Source organism: Homo sapiens, chromosome 14 (assembly GCF_000001405.40).
Source record: "Homo sapiens chromosome 14, GRCh38.p14 Primary Assembly".
Classification (NCBI taxonomy): Eukaryota; Metazoa; Chordata; class Mammalia; order Primates; family Hominidae; genus Homo; species Homo sapiens.
In genome coordinates, this window is record NC_000014.9 from 56,245,964 (window position 1) to 56,266,120 (window position 20,157).

The window sequence follows — 20,157 nt, forward strand, 5'->3', positions numbered from 1 at the left end:
GGAGTCCTGGAACCAGTCCACCATGGACATTGAAAGATGACTGTAGCTACTAAACTAATAGACTTTTCGAACTGCAGAGTGCCTTTGAATGCCATAGATCATATAAATCTTAAAGTTACAGGAGACTTCAGGAGTAATCTACTTTATCCTTCCTCTGCAAGCATGGATCTCCTCTGGAGTGCACCTGGTGCGTTCTCCATGTACTTTCTCTCATGGGGCAAACAGAGGTTGTAAAGTTTGCTATGACTTGACAAGAATAACAACTCCATTACTGGGCAACTTGGTACCATTTTCAACAGCTGTAACTGTTACAAGGTTTATATATTTACACTCAAATCTGATCCCCCTTCCCTTTAACCGTAACTTTTATACCTTGGTTTTGATTCTGTCCATCACAGCCAAACAGAAAAAGTCAACATTTTCTCTAATGTTAATAACTACTTAAGCTGCTAATCTTCCCCTAAGACATCACTTCCAGGGCAAGTTGCACTAATTCTTTCAACCCTTCCTCCTGTGTTTCCCATGTCCTTCTCCTTTCTGGCCTCTCCGAGCCTCTGCATTTGAGTGCTCTTCAGGACAAGCGTGGTCTACCAGTATTGATTAGAGTGATTTTTTTGTGTTGTTTCTCTGTTAAAAGCAGTGTTTACGGACGTAGGCCAACTGTGTACCAGGAAGTATGGGCTTGACATGGTTATGCATTACTTTATTTAACCCATATTACTTTGCAAATAGTTTTGATTATCTGTAGTACGCTGGGAAACTAAGACTCAAAAGTTAAGTAAATTGTTCAAGGTAATTTACCTAGGAAGTAGCAGCGCTGTGTCTCCTATCCCATTTAATTATTCCATCATACATTGACTTATATTGTGCAATTTTTCTCATACTTACTATCTTGGCCACGTTTCCTTTTTAGAATTTAAGAAATATTACATTCTTCTGAAAAACCTTTAAACTATACAGAAATATATAAGAAAAACCTTCTCCACCCCAGTAACCATGTGGTAGTGTGATACGAGAGTACCTTTTTACGTTGTTGGTCTACTGCTTACTTTCTGTACCTAAATAAAATACAGAGATACGAATGTGTACCTGTGTCTCTGAAAAGATTGAGTTAATAAATATAATGGACCTGTAGAATTGTGTCTGGTACACAGCAAGTGCTCAAATGTTGCTATTATATGTACAAACACATACATAATGTGTGTATGAAAATCAACATACACACACGGAATTCTTTCAAAACCAAAACAGGAATGGGAACAGTCTCTGTATACAATGCTTAAACTACTTTTATCACCCAAGATTTATCGTGTATATTCTTCCGATTATTATTTCAGTCAACTGTAGTTTTTCTTTTTGTTGCTACAAAGTATACTCTATCCCCTTAATTTATTTAGCTGTCCCCTTACGGATGGATGTTTAGGTTGTCTGCATGCTGTTAGAAATAGTGGTGCAGGGGACTGCTTGAGCATAGATCTTTATTCATGAGAGTTGATTGTCTGAACCTACACATATAAATGTACATTTATCACTTTAAAAATGCCTTATCTTGTTACATTTGGCCTGTTTTTATAATGTAGTCATTGGGTAGATTTTGACCCTGTCATCAGTGGATTCACTGTCTTTGGTATTGCTTCATTTTAAAAATTGTGATCAACCTACTTTCGTTAACATCTTGAAAATCATGGATTAACACAAGACAGAATTCTGTAGTTGCCACCAGAGGGCTCCTGTTATGTTGAAACTGATTTTATAGGTATAATCATTCACCCAGGTATAAATCTACTTTGGGTATTATCTTCTAACTATATTTCTCCATTGTATGTATAGAAATGTCGAGACAGACCTTGTCAGATGCCTTCATGGAATCTTGTTAAGAAAGTAGTCATTTAGTGAGTAATCTTTGCTACCCAGTCTGGAAGGATGACACTATATTCTATATTTGGAGAAACTTGAAATATAAACGACAGATGTCTATACTTTGGAAAGTGTCTGAAAAATGTCTAAAAATGCCCACTGTTTTATTGCCAAGAGAAGGAAAAGTGTCAGTGCTATTTTGATTTTGTTAGGCTAGCTGCCACGTAACTGGCTCCAGTGTTGATGCTCCATTTGGCAATTTTTTAGCACGATCAGATTGAATATAATCAGTTAAACTATATTTTCAGAATATTTGGGTTGATTTAAACCATTAAAAGTAGTTGCCTAAATGTGAAATACAGTCCAAAAATAATTTTCAGCGTCTACCATGCTGCTATTATGCAACGAACATGTCATATGAGCCGACCAAATATGTGGCTTCTTTGAGCATAGTAAATAATGAGAACATTAAGTTTCGCGCACATTTTAATTTATTCTTTAACTTTTTAAGATCAAGGACTCTGAAGTGAGAGAATACAGATCATTATTCCTTTTTTTTTTTAATCTGAAAGAATTGAAGCACAGAGAATTAAAACAGCCCAGAAAAAGAAGCGATACATCCCGATCATCAGGAGAGTCAGGGAAAGCTTCACACAAGAGGTGGCTTACCGTTCTGCTGAGGGTGACTGTGAGAAGGAGCCTCCAGGCTGGCAGGGAGCCTTGGTGGAGAGGCACAGGAGAACATGGAGGGTTGGGAAGCAGAAGGAAGGCATGCAGGAGCATGGATGGGGAGGCTGACCTGAAGGGTGCCATGAGGAGGCCGGATCCTGGAGTCTTGAATTCCAGGCCCAGGAATTTGGCCTTGAATCTGCAACATGAGAAGCTGGTTGGGAGGTGTAGAGAAAAGGGGTGACTCTAATCAGGCTCAGGCACAGAGGAGACACCGAGAGGGCTGTTGCTGCTCCTTAGTATTCTGGGGCTTGGCTGTTGAAAACCCTCCCCGGGGGTTGCTGAATGCCATGAGAAGGGCAGTCCATGTGCTGCGGCTGCTCCTGCCATGCCACTTGTAGAGGATATCATGTTTCTTCTTAGGAAGTCTCAGGGAAGCAGGGTTAATGGTCATTTCAAAAAGTAAAATGCACATCTTCTCTCCCAGTTTGTGTCCAGTTTTGGTGTTTGTGTTTCCGTTGGGCCTTTCCCACAAAGGCTTGAGTACTGTTAACAGGTAATCCCTGTCATAGTGGTGCCGTGAATTGGCCATGGGATATAGATTATGTGATGCTCGGAAGTGTGTATTGGCTTCAAAAGATTGGTACAGGTCTCTTTTAGTTTCCAAACATTCACATATGAGAATTCTAAGCTTAAGGAATTAACGTCCACTAAAATTCAAGCGGTATTGAGCATTTACTCTGTGCCAGGCAGGGATAGGGGTGGGAGAGAAGAAAAGTAAGGCCCTGTGCCCTGGGCATTAATGGTTCCCTCTTTCATTTAACATCCTTTACATATATCATGCATTTGCCCATCCACCCTCATCACATTGTTGGTTATTCTTATTTACATGTTTGTTAACATCAGTGTGAAAGCCTCTCCTCCCCCAGATAACGTTTTCCCTCCTATTTAAATCCTGCAGCCTCAGCATCCCCACCAAAGACCACTTCCTCCTCCATTCAACTCTTCCAAGGTGCAGTCAGTTTAATTCAACGGATATTTCTGGGACTATTAGGTGCAGAGTCCCATGTGAGTATCTAAGGGACAAGAACTGTTCTTTGTAACCCCAGTACTGAGCATGCTCCAGGTGTGTCTCATGAACAAGGAAGGGCTTGTGTTCCCCTGAGGAGGCAATATGGGAATACACACAAGGAATTACACAGCATTTGGGGCAGCAAGTGGCTGACAAAATGTGTGGCTCGTGTGTTCAGCTCTGTGGGAACTCAGGTTAGAGACTGAGAGTGACTGACACCAGGAGTGTGTCTCTCACTGCTCTGTCCCATCAATGTGTGCCCTGACTCAGTCACTGAATAAAGGATCACACATGCCTAGCATGCGTCATGCGAATCTTGATGTCACTGAAATATTTTTGAGGTGGGGAGAGCATTTTTGGGAGATCTGTTTGACTTTTGTGCACAGACTAGATCAGAGAAGTGTTTCACACAGGGAGCAAGATCAGTGCTCTCTCGTGTTCTCTAAGGGGCAGAAGTCCCCTTTGCCTGTAGGTTTTGGAATGCCCTATCCTCCTTACTGAGGATGCTCCAAATGGGGCTGTATCCTCTCCCTCTGGTAATGCCATGTTTTCTGCCCAAACTTTGGCTTCAAGCTTATTTCCAAAAGCCATCGGCACTGGCTGGACCTGTGGAGCACTGCCTGATGCACTGACGGTTCCTACTGAGAGCTTGGGCCACACTGGAAACATTTCTATTTGTTGATGGGGGTGAGATTTCAGCCAGGTAAGTCAATACTAGAAGTTATATGGTGGCTTAGATGAGGTTTTCTAGAAGCAAAGTGTATTAGTTAGGGTTCTCTAATGGGACAGAACTAATAGGATAGATGAATAGATGAAAGGGAGTTTATTAGGGGAATTGACTCACATCATCACAAGGTGAAGTCCCACAATAGGCCATCTGCAAGCTGAGGAGCAAGGAAGCCAGTCTGAGTCCCAAAACCTCAAAAGTAAGGAAGCCGACAGTGCAGCCTTCAGTCTGTGACCAAATGCCATAGAGCCTCTGGCAAACCACTGATGTAAGTCCAAGAGTCCATAAGCTGAAGAACTCGGAGTCTGATGTTCGAGGGCAGGAAGCATGCGGCATGGTAGAAATATGAAGACTAGAAGACTCAGCAAGTCTCCTCATTCCACTTTCTTCTGCCTGCATTATTCTAGCTGCACTGGCAGCTGATTAGATGGGCCCATCCAGATTGAGAGTGGGTCTGCCTCTCTCAATCCGCTGACTCAAATGTTAATCTCCTTTGGCGACACCCTCACAGGCACCCACCGAACAATACTTTGCATCCTTCAGTCAAGTTCACACTCAGTATTAACCATCACAGAAAGCCTGTGCAAGTGATTTACTGAAGAAGTACTGTCAGGAGAAACCAGGAAGGAGGTGAGGGAAGCAAGTGAGAGCAAGGGAAGAAGCTGGGAAAGAGTGCTCTTAGCCCAAGTCTAGCCTCAGCCTGACCCCCTGGGGAGCTCTGAGGCCACATAGCCACCCCACGTTGAGCAGGGGCTCAGCCCTCTTTCCTTGGTTCTGAGCTACAGGCCGCCCCTGGGGGCACCATCTCCCAGGCATTTCTGGACTAAGTGGGCCAAAGAAAGTTCTCTGGAGAAGGGTTTGTCTGTGAGCTATTAGTAGCCAGCACTCAGCTGCTCACAGCGGGCAGCAGGAGCTCAGCCTGGGAGGGCCATCGGCAGAGGCTCCTTCAGAGCCAAGTTGACATTGTTACTTCTTCTGCCTCCTTCCATTCACAGATGCAATTATCCTCCTAGGAAGATAGTAGCATAATATTTGTGTAGCACTTTGAACTTAAAAAGCCAAGCTTATTTTCTTATTTTATTTTATCCCTGCAACAATCCTGTAAGGCGAGCAGGGTAGTTGCTGAGTCTTTACAGTCAAGTGTTCTAGTACGCGAAGCTTAAATGACTTAAGATCAAGCAGCCGTAGTTTCTGCTGAGTATTCTGTTTGATCCTTGCAGCAGTTCGTTATTGTTACCCTGTTGGTTGATTGTTGTGATGCAGGGAGGTGGAGTGACACACTTGTGTGCTCATGGTTGGTATGTAGTGCACTTGTAATTGTGAGCCCCTGTTTGATTCCACACCCTGTTTCAGTCTCGTCATACCCTGCAGCCTCTGCAATTGGTAAGCAAAATCAAGTCCAAAACCCAAGTTTTTGACACGAACTACTCTTGGAAAGAGGCTGCTAAGCATAAATGTTGGGGGACATTACATCTAAAATGTTAGCTGTGCTAATTATTTAAAGCTAGCATAGCATAGCATATCAGGACAAGTTGTTAAAGCTTCACATCAAGAGTAGTCACTTGGGATGTTTTAGCTATTCAATTTGTATTCATCTTGGATTCTTATCTAGATTGACATGACAGCTTGAGGTGCCAAACGTATACACCGTAATTCTTTTTTTTAATAGTGAAGCATAAATGGATTATGATGTAGGACTTTGAGAATTGTTATTAGGTGAGTTTGACAATAGCACAGGGTAATAATGTCTCAGACACCTAGGATACTTGGGAGAATAGGGTATTCTGCTTCAATAATTTGTTTGTTCAGCAAACACTGAATGCTCTCTGTACCAGAAATTGTGCAGTAAGGAGGTAACAATTCATAGTCAAGTAAATATAGTTGTCATAGCCTAGGGTAAGGGTGCTATAACAGTAGCCAGACTTGATAAAAAGGAGTTTAGGCCTTTAAAATTATTTTCATAGCTAATGGTAGCACACTCCTGTTTTAGAGTAATATTTCCCAAAGCAGAGGTGTTCCTATACCTTGTTCATCAATATCACAATGTCTTACTGGGACACCTGTTGTATGTAAACTACTGTAACCCATTCTGTTACTTGCCAAATCAAGAAGCTTTGAAAGAAGTCTTAGAAAATATAGTTGTAAAGTTATTTATATAAAATCACATTTAACCTGTAACGTATTGTAAGATGAGTGTTGGTGAAACACCTTCTTTGTCTGGGGAATAACCTGTGGTTTGTTGCCTTGAGCCAGGAAAGAATTCAGAACATGGACACATGGGTGGGTTAAGGAGCAGGAAGTTTAGTAGTGGAAAGGTGAGAGGAAGAGGAGAACAGCTTCTTGCAAGAGAGAGGAGATAGAGGGAGAGCGAGACGTCTGGAAAAAAGGAGGATCAATAACAAGTTCTGAAATTGAGGCAGTAATTAATATCCTACCAACCAAAAAAAGCCCAGGACCAGATGGATTCACAGCCAAATTCTACCAGAGGTATAAAGAGGAGCTGGTACCATTCCTTCTGAAAGTATTCCGAACAATAGAAAAAGAGGGACTCCTCCTCAACTCATTCTATGAGGCCAGCATTATCCTGATACCAAAACCTGGCAGAGACACAACAAAAAAGGAAAATTTCAGGCCAGTATCCCTGATGAACATCTATGTGAAAATCCTCAGTAAAATACTGGCAAACAGAATCCAGCAGCACATCAAAATCCACCATGATCAAGTCAGCTTCATCCCTGGGATGCAAGGCTGGTTCAACATATGCAAATCAATAAACGTAATCCATCACATAAACAGAACCAATGACAAAAACCACATGATTGTCTCCGTAGATGCAGAAAAGGCCATCGATAAAATTCATCACCTCTTCATGCTAAAAACTCTCAATAAACTAGGTATTGATGGATGTATCTCAAAATAATAAGAGCTGTTTATGACAAACCCACAGCCAATATCACACTGAATGGGCCAAAGCTGGAAGCATTCCCTTTGAAAGCCAGCACAAGACAACGATGACTTCTCTCACCAGTCCTATTCAATATAGTATTGGAAGTTCTGTCCAGGGCAATCAGGCAAGATAAAGAAATAAAGCGTATTCAATTAGGAAAATAGGAAGTCACATTGCCTCTGTTTGCAGATGACATGATTGTATATTTAGAAAACCCCATGATCTCAGACCCAAACTCCTTAAGGTGATAAGCAACTTCAGCAAAGTCTTAGGATACAAAATCAATGTGCAAAAATCAGAAGCATTCCTATACACCAATAACAGACAAACAGAGAGCCAAATCATGAGTGAACACCCATTCACAATTGCTGCTAAGAGAATAAAATACCTAGGAATACAACTTACAAGGGATGTGAATGATCTCTTCAAGGAGAACTACAAACCACTGCTCAAGGAAATAAGAGCGGACACAAGCAAACGGAAAAACATTCCACGCTCATGGATAGGAAGACTCAATATCGTGAAAATGGCCATACTGCCCAAAAGATTCAGTGCTATCCCCATCAAGCTACCAGTGACTTTCTTCACAGAATTGGGAAAAAAAACTACTTTAAATTTCATATGGAACAAAAAAAGAGCCCAGATAGCCAAGACAATTCTAAGCAAAAAGAACAAAGCTAGAGGCATCACACTACCTGACTTCAAACTATACTACAAGGCTACAATAACCAAGACAGGATGGTACTGGTACCAAAACAGATACATAGACCAATGAAACAGAACAGAAGCTTCAGAAATAATACCACACATCTACAACCATCTGATCTTTGACAAACCTGACAAAAGCAATGGGGAAAGGATTTCCTACTTAATAAATGATGTTGGCCAGGCGTGGTGGCTCACGCCTGTAATCCCAACACTTTAGGAGGCCAAGGCAGGCAGATCACGAGGTCAAGAGATCAAGACCATCCTGGCCAACATGGTGAAACCCCGTCTCTACCAAATATACAAAAATTAGCTGGGCATGGTGGTGCACACCTGTAGTCCCAGCTATTCGGAAGGCTGGGGCAGGAGAATTGCTTGAACCTGGGAGGCAGAGGTTGTAGTGAGCTGAGATGCGCCACTGCACTCCAGCCTGGTGACAGAGCAAGACTCCATCTCAAAAAAAAAAAAAAATGGTGTTGGGAAAACTGGCTAGCCCTATGCAGAAAGCTGAAACTGGACCCCTTCCTTAAACCTTATACAAAAATTAACTCAAGCTGGACTAAAGACTTAAACATAAGACCTAAAACCATAAAAACCCTAGAAGAAAACCCAAGCAATACCATTCAGGGCATAGGCGTGGGCAAAGACTTCATGACTAAAACAACAAAAGCAATGGCAACAAAAGCCAAAATTGACAAATGGGATCTAAGTAAACTAAAGAGCTTCTGCACAGCAAAGAAACTATCATCAGAGTGAACAGGCAACCTACAGAATGGGAGAAAATTTTTGCAATCTTTCCCGTCTGACAAAGGGCTAATATCCAGAATCTACAAGGAACTTAAACAAATTTACAAGAAAAAAACAACCCTATCAAAAAGTGGGCGAAGGATATGAACAGACACTTCTCAAAAGAAGACATTTATGCAGCCAACAAATACGAAAAAATTTCCATTATCACTGGTCATCAGAGAAATGCAAATCAAAACCACAATGAGATACCATCTCACACCAGTTAGAGTGGCGACCATTACAAAGTCAAGAAACAACAGATGCTGGAGAGGATGTGGAGTAATGGGAACGCTTTTACACTGTTGGTGGGAGTGTAAATTAGTTCAATCATTGTGAAAGACAGTGTGGCAATTCCTCAAGGATCTAGAATCAGAAATACCATTTGACCCAGCAATCCCATTATTGGTTATATACCCAAAGGATTATAAGTCATTCTACTATAAAGACACATGCACACATTTGTTTATTGCAGCACTATTTACAATAGCAAAGACTTGGAACCAACCCAAATGCCCATCAGTGATAGACTGTATAAAGAAAATGTGGCACATATACACCATAGAATACTATGCAGCCATAGAAAAGGATGAATTCATGTCTTTTGCAGGGACATGAATGAAGCTGGAAACCATCATTCTCAGCAGACTAACACAGGAACAGAAAACCAAACACCACATATTCTCACTCATAAGTGGGAGTTGAACATTGAGAATGCATGGACACAGGGAGGGAAACATCATGCACCAGGGCCTGTCGGGGTGGGGGTCTAGGGGAGGGATGGCATTAGGAGAAATACCTAATGTAGATGACAGGTTGATGGGTGCAGCAAACCACCATAGCACATGTATGCCTATGTAACAAACCTGCATGTTGTGCACATGTATCCCAGAACCTAAAGTATAATTTTTTAAAAAGTGGGGTTGGGGGAAGGTGGTGGACCACAGCAGATTGTATAGGCAGGATGGAGGAGATAGTGTTTGATGTACGTAGGGCCCACAGATTGGTGTGATCAGGTGTGTCATTTACATAATGTGTGGGGAAGGCTGGCTGCCCCACTCTAATCTTATTATGCAAATGAATTATCCTTGGCTGGCACCATCTTGTCTGCTCCTTACTGTACATGTGGCTGGCAGAGAAGGGAAGATGGAGCCACCACCTTGAACATGGCTAGTCCCTAGTTCCTGCTGGCATTCACTCGTGCAAGCTCCCAGCTTGCTTGTCTATGCAGCTCAACTTTACAGGGTGCTCTTTGTTAGAAAATGATTTGGGGCTGCTTTTCATTAAAAAGAAAAGCCTTACTGAGGACTCCAGTACCCTTTCTTACTATCTGTCTAAGTAATTTCATCTTAACTCCTGTGTCATCGGTGCTCATGATGGAGTCAGTTTAGGTTAGGCAAGACAAAAAATACCATTTACACTCAGGAGCAGTGGCTCATGCCTGTAATCCTAGCACTATGGGAGGCTGAGGCAGGAGGATCATTTGAGCCCAAGAGTTCGAGACCAGCCTGGACAACATAGTGAGACCCATCTCTCCAAAACACAAATTAAAAAAAAATATTAGCTGGGCATGGTGGTGCACACTTGTAGTCCCAGCTACTCTGGAGGCTGAGGTGGGAGAAGGCAGAGGTGGGAGAATCTCTTGAACCTAAAAAGATTGAGGCAGCAGTGAGTTCTGATGGAACCACTGCATGCCAGCCTGGGCAAAGATCGAGACCCTGTCTCAAAAAAGAAAAAAAAAATACCATTAACTTCAAAGTAAAAATTAACTATAAATGTAAGAAGCCAGGTGTGAGTCTGAAGAAAGCATATATCCGGAAAATATTTATTGAATTCTTATTAAATAAATTTTTTTATTTTAGAATTTTTTGCAAAGATTTTATGTGGAGATGAAGTCTGCTTTTCTTATTTAAGACGTAATTAGAAAATGCAAAACTTCAGTTTTCTTGGGAAGTAACTAATATGTAGAATAAATAAAATTCTGAGTTAACCTAGTGTAGATCCTCTTAAATAACAAAGGATTTTATTTGCAGGTAGATTTCAGACAGATTTCCTCTCCTCTACCCTGCATGCTCTGATTAATGTAGGTTACACCTTTTAAAGTGGCAGCTTTTTAGAATGTATGTAGGCTTCAGCGTGTAGGCTTCCATATTCAAATTCATATTAGTGTGTGCTACTGGAAGTTGCCAGCTGTCTAACTAGCTAGGTAGGATACCCTGCCTTATCGCATATTATTTGCTTTGATAAACATTGAAGTTTATACTGTTATTTTTCTTTTCAATATGAATTTTAACGTTCATCTTTATTCTTAATGTTTGCCTGCTCATATATAAGGCTCTGTATTAATAGTATATAGTGGGCATCAAGGGCAAGTAGGATATTATTTAACCAAAATTACCTTGATAACAAATAAGTATATTTTCTACTAAGTACCTGCCAGATCAGAGAAGAGTTAAGTTAATTGTGTATGTATGTGCTAGGAAATGTTCTAGGTATTGGAGATAAAAGTGTTGAACAACATAGAAGATGATCCTACCCCCTCAGAGCTTACAGTGTAATGTGGGCTGGCAGGAAGAAGTAAGTAAGTAAAATAAACAACAACTAGTTTCTTGTAAATGCTCTGAAGAAAATAAAATAAAATTAGAGACAACTGGATTTGGGTGTTATTTAGTATTTGATGTTATTAGGAGCATAATTCGATGGTGAATTAAGTTTAAAATTGTTTAAATTATTAAAATTATTTAAGTTTAAAATTGTCATCAATTCAGGTGTACTGGACTTTCTCTTTCTATATATATATGTATCTATGTATATATTCATGTGAAACACAGAGGAACAGAAGAGATTCTAAAATGTATGCGAAAAAGAATTCCACTTCCATGCATGAAGAATTAACTGTTACAGAATTCACTGCCTCTCCCTACTGTAAACAACTGGACAAAATATATTAAATGACTGGTTGCAGACAACAGGCAGCTCAGGGCTGTGATCCCTGAGAGAAGGGAAATAAGTGAGGTGAGCCCCAGCTTACTGCCTAAGGCAGTTTTCACAGGCCCAATAACAAGGAATAAGGAACCAAACAGCCCTATGATCTGAGTTGAAGAGACAAAGATTACAGTCTGAGGAGGTGAGGCAGCTGAAATTTGTAAAGGAAACTGCCAGAGATGAGGGGGCTTCATAGAGGCATAGAGCTTTGTAGAGCTACAGAGGATACTCTCTGAGCCCTTGGTCAGGTACTGTTTTGTTTGTGTGCATGGTGAAGCGCCACAGAATGGGGAAAGAACTACTGGAAAGCAATAGGCTGAACAACTTCTGTAGCTCACAAAGGACTGGGATTAGTTATGTTCCCACCTGTAGAGTGAAAAGATCTCAAAATACCAGGGAAATCGGATAGAGTCTGCAGAAGAGTGTCACCTTAGTAATGAGGATAAATTATCCCTAGATCAAAGTGTGCTCTGGACTTGCCCAAACAAAGCTTAAAAGCAAGTCTTGGGAGATAAAACTGTTCTAAAGTTAACTGCCTACCAGAACAAGTCCAACACTCTTAACAAAATCAAGAACCGCCCCCCCACCCCCGCAAAAAAAAATTAATGGCCAGCATCCAATCAAAAATTACCAGAAACTCATGGAAGTAGTAAAATAAGACCTATACCCAGGAGGAAAATAAATCAATAGAAACAAACCTAGAAATTACAGATGGAATTAAACACAGACAAGAAGGTTAAAATAGCTGTTACAAATATATTCTCTATGACGTGGAATGTAAAGGGAAATGTGCATGTTGAGAAGAACAATGTCAGAAAAAAGGTTCAAGTGATGAAACTTCTGAAGGTGAAAAATAACATGTCTGAAATAAAAAAAAAAACACTGGATTGAGGTAGCAGTACATTAGAAACTGAAGAAGAAAAGATCAGTGAACTTGAAGGTATTGCAATAGGAAGTTCCAATATGGGGCAAGAGATGAAAAACTGAAAAAAATAAAGATAGCCATAGTAAATTGTGGGTATATATCAGGTGGTCTCAAATATGTGTAAATGGTGTCCTAGAAAGATAAGTGGAGGTAAAGGTAGCAATTTTAAAAGGCCAAAATTTTTCAAATATGATGAAAATGATAAAAGTCTAGAACCAAGAAGCTCAGTGAGCTCTAAAAAGAATATAAAGAAAACTATAGTAAGACACATGACAGTTAAATTGCCAAAAAGCAATAATAAATAGAAAATCTCAAAATCATCCAAAGAAAAAAGGCAATATGCACAGAGAAACAAAATTAAGAATGAAAAAATTAAACAGAAACACTGCAAGTCAGAAGACCATGGACCAACATCTTTAAAGTACTAAAGGGGACGGACAGAAGTAGGGAGAAACAAAGGGAGACTATCACCCTAGAATTTAGCATAAATTTCTTCAGAAGTGAAAGAGAAGTAAAGACTTTATTTCAGAAAAACAAAAGCTAAAAACAGTTATCACCAGCACACCTGCACGACAAAAAATGTTAAAGTTTTTCAGGCAGAAGGAGAAAACAACAGATGGAAATTTAGATTTATATGAAGTGCTGAGTACTAGACGTGGTAAAAATGAGGGGAAATATGAAAGACACTTCTTTCTTATTTTTGATCTCTTTAAAAGAATATTGACTTTTAAGCCAAATTAATAATAATGTATGGGGTTTATAACATGCATAGAGATAAAATGACAGCAGCATCAAGGACAAGAGAGAGGAGACCATAAGATTCTTGTATTGTTTAACCCAGGAATACAAGGTTGGTTAATCGTTCAAAAGTTAGTCAGTGTAATTCTACAGACCAAAAAGGAAATGGTATGATCGTCTCCATATGCATGCACAGAAAGTACTGGATAAGTTAAACGTTCATTATAAAATCTCTCAGGAAACTAGGAATAGATGAAACTTCCTTACTTGATAAAGGATGTTTTTGAAAAACTTAACAGGTAACCACACTTACTTGTTTTGTTTCACAACAGTATGATTATGCACATAGAAAATCCTACAGTAGAAACAAAACGAGAAGCTATTCACACTAGTAAGTACATTTAGTGGACTTGTAGGGTACAAGACCAATGTACAAAAATAAGTTCTTCTATATTAGCAATAAGTAATAGAGAATGGAAAATTTGAAGGCAAAGCATTTAAGATAGCATATGAAATACTTATGGATAAATTTAACAAAATGCATGTAATATTGCATACTATAAACTGCAAAACATTGTTGAGATAAAGAAGACCTAAATAAAATGGAGAGACGAACCATATTTCTGGATATTATTGACATACCATATTCACTTGATATTATTTAGATACCAATTTTTCAAAAATTGATATACATTCAGCACTATTCCAATAAAAATTCCAGATTGCCTGTTTTGTGACAAAAAATTTAAATGCATATTTGCTGTATGACCCAGCAATCCCCCTCTAGGTATTTACCCAGGAGAAATGTATATATCCCCAGATATATACATTTCTGGGTTATAAACCCCAGCTATATTTGTGAAAGCTAAAAACTGGAAATAGTATAAATATCCTTTAAATGTCCATAGAATGGAATAACTACTAATAGAGAAAAAGGAACAAACTACCAAGACACATAATGACATAGATAAATCTCAAAGGGTTTTGGTAAAGACACTGAGTATGTAAGACTACATATTAAGTTTACATTTGTATGAAATTCCAGAAAAGACAGCTATAGTGACAGAAACCCTATCAATGGTTCCTGGGGGAGGCAGGCAGTTTCAGGGATTGGCTGCACAGTCATGAAGGAACTGTTTGGGGTGACGGGACAGTTCTATGTCTTGACTGAAGTGGTGGTTACATGACTCTTCATTTGTCAAAACTCCTCAAATTGTACACTTAAAACTGGTGAATGTTAGTAAATGTAAACTATACCTCAATAAAGCTGATTTTTAAAGTAGGGAAACAGTTTTTCATAAAGTAAATTTGACGATTTGGTAATCCTTGTGTGAGTAAATAGTACGATGGATTCCTCAAGAAGCGAACACACTCTTTTTCTGAAGTGACAAAAGTAGAACTGTTTACTTTGCCTGGGGTCAGCCCATGTGCAGGTTATGAAGTTCTGTTAATGTGACTTCCTAATGAATGGATATGGACACATCTATGTTCAGCTTAGAATAACCGGGAGAGTAAAGAGATTTGAAGCCATGTATTTTGAAGAAAATCAGAATGAGTGAGAGATGTTTCACCAAGGGAAGGAATCACTGGAGGTGAGGTGAGGTACCGTGAGGCTGTCTCTAGATATTTGAAGGACTCTAGTATGTGGAGGGATTGAGGTATTTTTTTTTTTTTCTTAAATGTTCTGGCTGCAGGGAGATAGCTGTCTACCCACCACGAAGCTTCCCAGTTATTCAAGTTTGGTAACTTTTTAGACTGGATACTATTGACAAGGGCAGCATGCTGTAAAGGAGATTCTAAAAACTTCTGAATAATATGTGCACTTTCAGCTTGCATTAATACTTGGTAACTGTGTCCTGTGATGCCACAGATGACTCAGATTCAATGGCCACTCATTTCTATTGCTTGATCTCTCTGCCCCAGCTGACAGTTTTGCTTACGGCTTGTTTCTGTTCATTCGTTCATGAGTTCATTCTTACAAATTCGATTTGCACAGTACCATTCTTTACTGGTTCTTCTCTTCTCTTAATGTTGTTCTTTTCTAATGATGGAAACAGGATTTGATGGGTGACTGAACTACATCGCTTTCAACTACATCGCTTTTCAAGGTGATTTCCAATCCTATGGTCTCATAAATTATAAATGATTACAAAAGTCCATATAAATTCTGTCCCCCAAACTTGGAAATTCTTTTGTAAAGGAACAAAGAAAAGAGTATGCAGTGCAGTATAGACTTGCCCATCCACTTAGGAAATGTCTTACCCTAAGTCAGTTTCCTTATTTTACAAAATGGAGATAACAATATTCACCTCATGGTGGTTGTGTGGATCAGATGACTGCAGTAAAACAATACATGCAAAAACACTATGCCTTGAAAAAGCACTAACTACGCAGAATGTTCACTGATTTGGTTATTAAGGTGTATATATTTATCTTATAAATCTGTTGTGAGTTTCTTATTTGTTAGCTGGAGTTGTATCCATGTAGGAGATTTTATACATGTAGATGGCTAATCTGATTAAACTTCACACATAAATATATTGACTGAAGATTGCTGACTTTCTGTCCCCCATAAATAAGACTTGTCTGCTCTGGTTATCACATAGTTTGACTCTCGAAAAGTTGCTTTGGTGGGTGATGTCTTTAGGGTTTACCATTCAGCATAGGCTTTATCCGTAAGAGGGCAACACATTATTTGTTGAATTTATTTACATTCTATCTCTTTCCAAAAGTACTAGAAGCAGGGCAAGTGTATTTTAAACTGCAATTTACAGGCAAAATCCTAAGGCAAATCTGTCCTTTCATTTATTTGTCTTGCTTTAGCTAGACAGCAAGTATAATAACCTAACACTAACCCTGGTATTTTTAGCTGCAGTTCCAGGAGTTTTGTTCCACAGTAACACCCAAGAAATAAACATTTTACCTACTGCATGGATAGACTTTTTAATCAATAATAATAGTCATATTGACTTAATAATGAATTAGATCTGAATCCCCAGTGTATTCAATATCAAGCCATTTGACTTTTCCTGTTGATTGTTTTATTATAAGCAAAAAGATAATCAACCACAGATTTTTTTTCATATCAGAGTATTTTCCTTGAGATGTTTCTCACAACCAATTCTTTTCGCCATTAATTTCTAAAGAAATGTAAATTTTAATTTTAATAATAGCTGAGGATGGGATAATAAAAATAATTCTTTACCATAGATAGAATGTATTCTCACAATGTGAAGTAACATTTAAAATCTGTGCCACGGCTTTCCTCTTTGGCCGATTTGTAAGGTTTTAGTCACATGCCAAAGGACTCATGGTTAGTTGACGTTAGGGCTGAGCCTCAAGCTGAGTGCCTTGTTCCTGATCTAACTCTCTCCCCTGGCACAGGATGTCCTAGTGCTGTTGCTGTCACTGCATTGATTCTTGTGTTATATAATATCCCTGACTTTTGATCATATTCTCTACCAAATACAGCCAGAATGTAAAAGTTTTAATATAGAATATGCTCAAGGGAAACCATTTTTGTGTATAATAACTTTTACCCAAATTTTTTTTTAGTGACCTGTTTTATCTGGGGGTTGTTTATAAATTTTCTACACTCTGATGTTAAATGCCTTGATTCTTTTGCTCAAGGATGTGCAGTGGCGTGATCTTGGCTCACTGCAACAACCACCTCCCAGGTTCAAGCAATTCTCCTGCCTCAGCCTCCCAAGTAGCTGGGATTACGGGCGCCTGCCACCATGCCTGGCTAATTTTTTTTGTACTTTATAGTAGAGACAGGGTTTCACCATGTTGGCCAGGCTGGTGTCGAATTCCTGACCTCAGGTGATCCTCCCATCTTGGCCTCCCAAAGTGCTGGGATTACAGGCATGAGCCACCGCACCCAACCTAGTGACCCAAGATTTCTTTACCCCACATTTCTTTTAAATATTCAGCCAATTGACAAATACTGATAAATATGCAAGAATGCAGGATATAGAATTTTTATGAGCCCTTACTGAAGAAATTACCAGAAGACAAATTTCAGCCAAAAAAAAGAGGTGAATGCAAAACTATCATCTAAACATTGAATTACACTCTATCTGAAGGACTAAAACAAATGAGAAAATGATTGCCACAGAATAGAATGTAAATATTATTATTCTGACAATGTAGAAATAATAGAATTTATAAAAGGTGGGCAAGGAAGGAAAGAATGGAGAGAGGTTCTGTAAGCATGCTAATATCCTCAGATTTTATAGCTGGGAGACAAAAATTATCACTTAAAACAGGAAGATATAAATATATTTAAAGGTTTAAAAAGCAAACAGCAATAAACAGTTTAAAAATAATTGAAAGTGTACACAGAAGGATGACAGAAAATGAAAATAGTCTTATTGTTCTTATTAGAGAGTTAATGGGTGCAAACATTTTTATAGTTTTATGCACAAAAGTAGCTGTAAGAATAGAAATATGCCCCTTCTCAGTGATCATATAAAATACAGGTAAGGCAAAGAAAGCACAGATCTTAATGCAGACGATTTTTTTTAAAGACAACAGAAGCTCAGAAATTGAAAAAATTTTTTAAAATACTATTTGCAATAGCATAAAAAATGTAAAACACAGTTGATGCTCATTATTCACAGATTCCATATTTACACATTTACCTACTGACTAAAATTTACTTGTAACTCCCAAATTAATACTCAGGGTCCTTTTGCAGTTATTTGTAGATGTATGCACGGTGGCAAGAAATGTGAGTGGCCTGCCCAGGGCACACATTCCCAGGTGAGGTCCAACTAGGCGAAGCTCTGCCTTCTTGCTTCAGTTCTCATACTGTCAACAAGTGTTCTTTGCATGGTATATTTAGTGCTAAGTTTTTCTCACTTTTTCTTGGTGATTTCACTGTTTGAAATGTTCCCCCAACCATGGTGTTGAAGTGTTCCCCAGTATTCCTAGGTGCAAGAACACTGATGTACCGTACAGAGAAACTACATGTTAGATTATCATTGTTCAGTTAATGTGCTCTTGACTGCGAGTTCAGTGTTAATGAATTAACAATACAGTACACCAGAAAAAGGAGGAGGAGATTTCCCAATACATAGATGAGGCCACACTAGAAAGTGCTACAGTAATATGCACAGTGTATTAGGAAGCTGTGGGAAAGATGGTAAAGTGGCTAAATGATGGGAAAGTGGCGAAATGTATGAATTCATGAGATGAGAGCCAATTTAAAAAAGCATAGTGGACACCATTGTTCTGAAACTGAAAGCCAAAGAAATTTATGGTCACATTACCCAGGGGCAGGAAAATGGTAAACCCAGTTCTTGGTTAGTGTTTCGTTATAAAGATTATTATGTGATTATTTGTAAGAAATATATATTAAGTGAGGTATTTTTAAACAGAAACACAGAAAACAATTATTTGATCATTTGACAAAAATGTTGCAACAAGAGGCTCCTAGGAACTGAATCCTGTATTTTCCTTAGGAGCAGTGGCTCAGTATTCGGTAAATCAATATTTATGACAACTTGATAGAATATAACTGTGAATGATGAGAATTGACTGCACTTAGGGATAAATCTAAGAAAAGATGTGGAAGACCTTTATGCAGAAACTTATAAAAACATTGCTGAGAGAAATTGAGGACCTAAATATGTGGAGAGAGACACCATGTTCATGGATCAGAAAACTCAACAGTGATGTGAATTCTACCAAAATCTGTAAATTCAGTACAATACCAATCAAAATCCCAGCAGACTTTTTTAAGAGAAATTAATAAACTGATTCTAAATTTCATTTGAAAATGTGAAAAACCTAAAATTGCCAAAACTGCTTTGAAACATAAGAACAGAATTGGAGTACTCCCAGTGACTTCAAGACTTTATTTTAAAGCTACAGTAATTAAGACAGTGTGGTATTGGTGTAAAGATAGATAAATAGATCATCACAGTGGAGCCCAGAAATAGACCCATATATATATGGACATGGTTTTTGACAAAGATGCAAAGGCAATTCTGTTGAAAAAGGATAGTCTTTTAAACAGACGGTGCTGTTTCATTTATACATGCAGAAATATGAATTTGATTTATACTTTTCAGCGTGTACAAAAAGTAGTTCATCATGGATCATAAAACTAAATATAAAACTTCTAAGAGAAAACATAGAAGAAAAATCTTTGCAATTTTGAGTTAGGAAGAATTTCTTAGATATAAAACCAAAAATGTGATTTATAAAAGAACAAATTGATAAATAGACATCAAAGTTAAGAACTTACGCCTTTGGAATAAACTGTTCAGAGAATGCAAAGACAAGGTACACAGACGGGTAGAAAATACTTGCAAATCATTTGTCTGATAAAGAATTTGTATTCAGAATGTATAAACTCTCAAAACAACAGTAAGAAAATTCAATTTTTGAAAATGGGCAACAGAATTGAACAGAGACTTCCCCAGAGAAGATATATAGATGTCATATTTACATATGAAAATATTATCAGCCTCATTAATCATTAGGGAAATACAGATTAAAACCACAATGAGATATCACTACACACTCATATGTATGGCTACCATTAAAAGACTGACAATTCCAAAAGTTGGCAGGATTGGATCTAACCCAAAGTTCATCAACAGATAAGTGAATGAACAAATTGTGGTATATCATTAAAACTGAATACTCTGCAATAAAAAAGCAGTGAACTGTTGATACATGCATATGCTGAAAACAAACTATACCTTTTTATAAGCACTTGACTGTTCAAACATTTG

The 20,157-nt window shown here is 38.6% G+C and overlaps 1 protein-coding gene across 8 annotated transcripts in view, besides 1 other annotated feature; it reads left to right on the top strand.

Annotated features, from left to right (window-relative positions):
* The window catches only part of PELI2 (pellino E3 ubiquitin protein ligase family member 2), a 183,114-nt gene that overhangs the window by 127,553 nt on the left and 35,404 nt on the right, over positions 1-20,157 (top strand). The window lies entirely within an intron of this gene.
* Positions 4,607-5,107: an enhancer, noted in NCBI's record as "H3K4me1 hESC enhancer chr14:56717288-56717788 (GRCh37/hg19 assembly coordinates)". NCBI's record gives its function as "activates a minimal SCP1, AML or CMV promoter by ChIP-STARR-seq in naive H9 embryonic stem cells {active_cell/tissue: H9 hESC(naive)}" and the evidence as "EXISTENCE:reporter gene assay evidence [ECO:0000049][PMID:30033119]".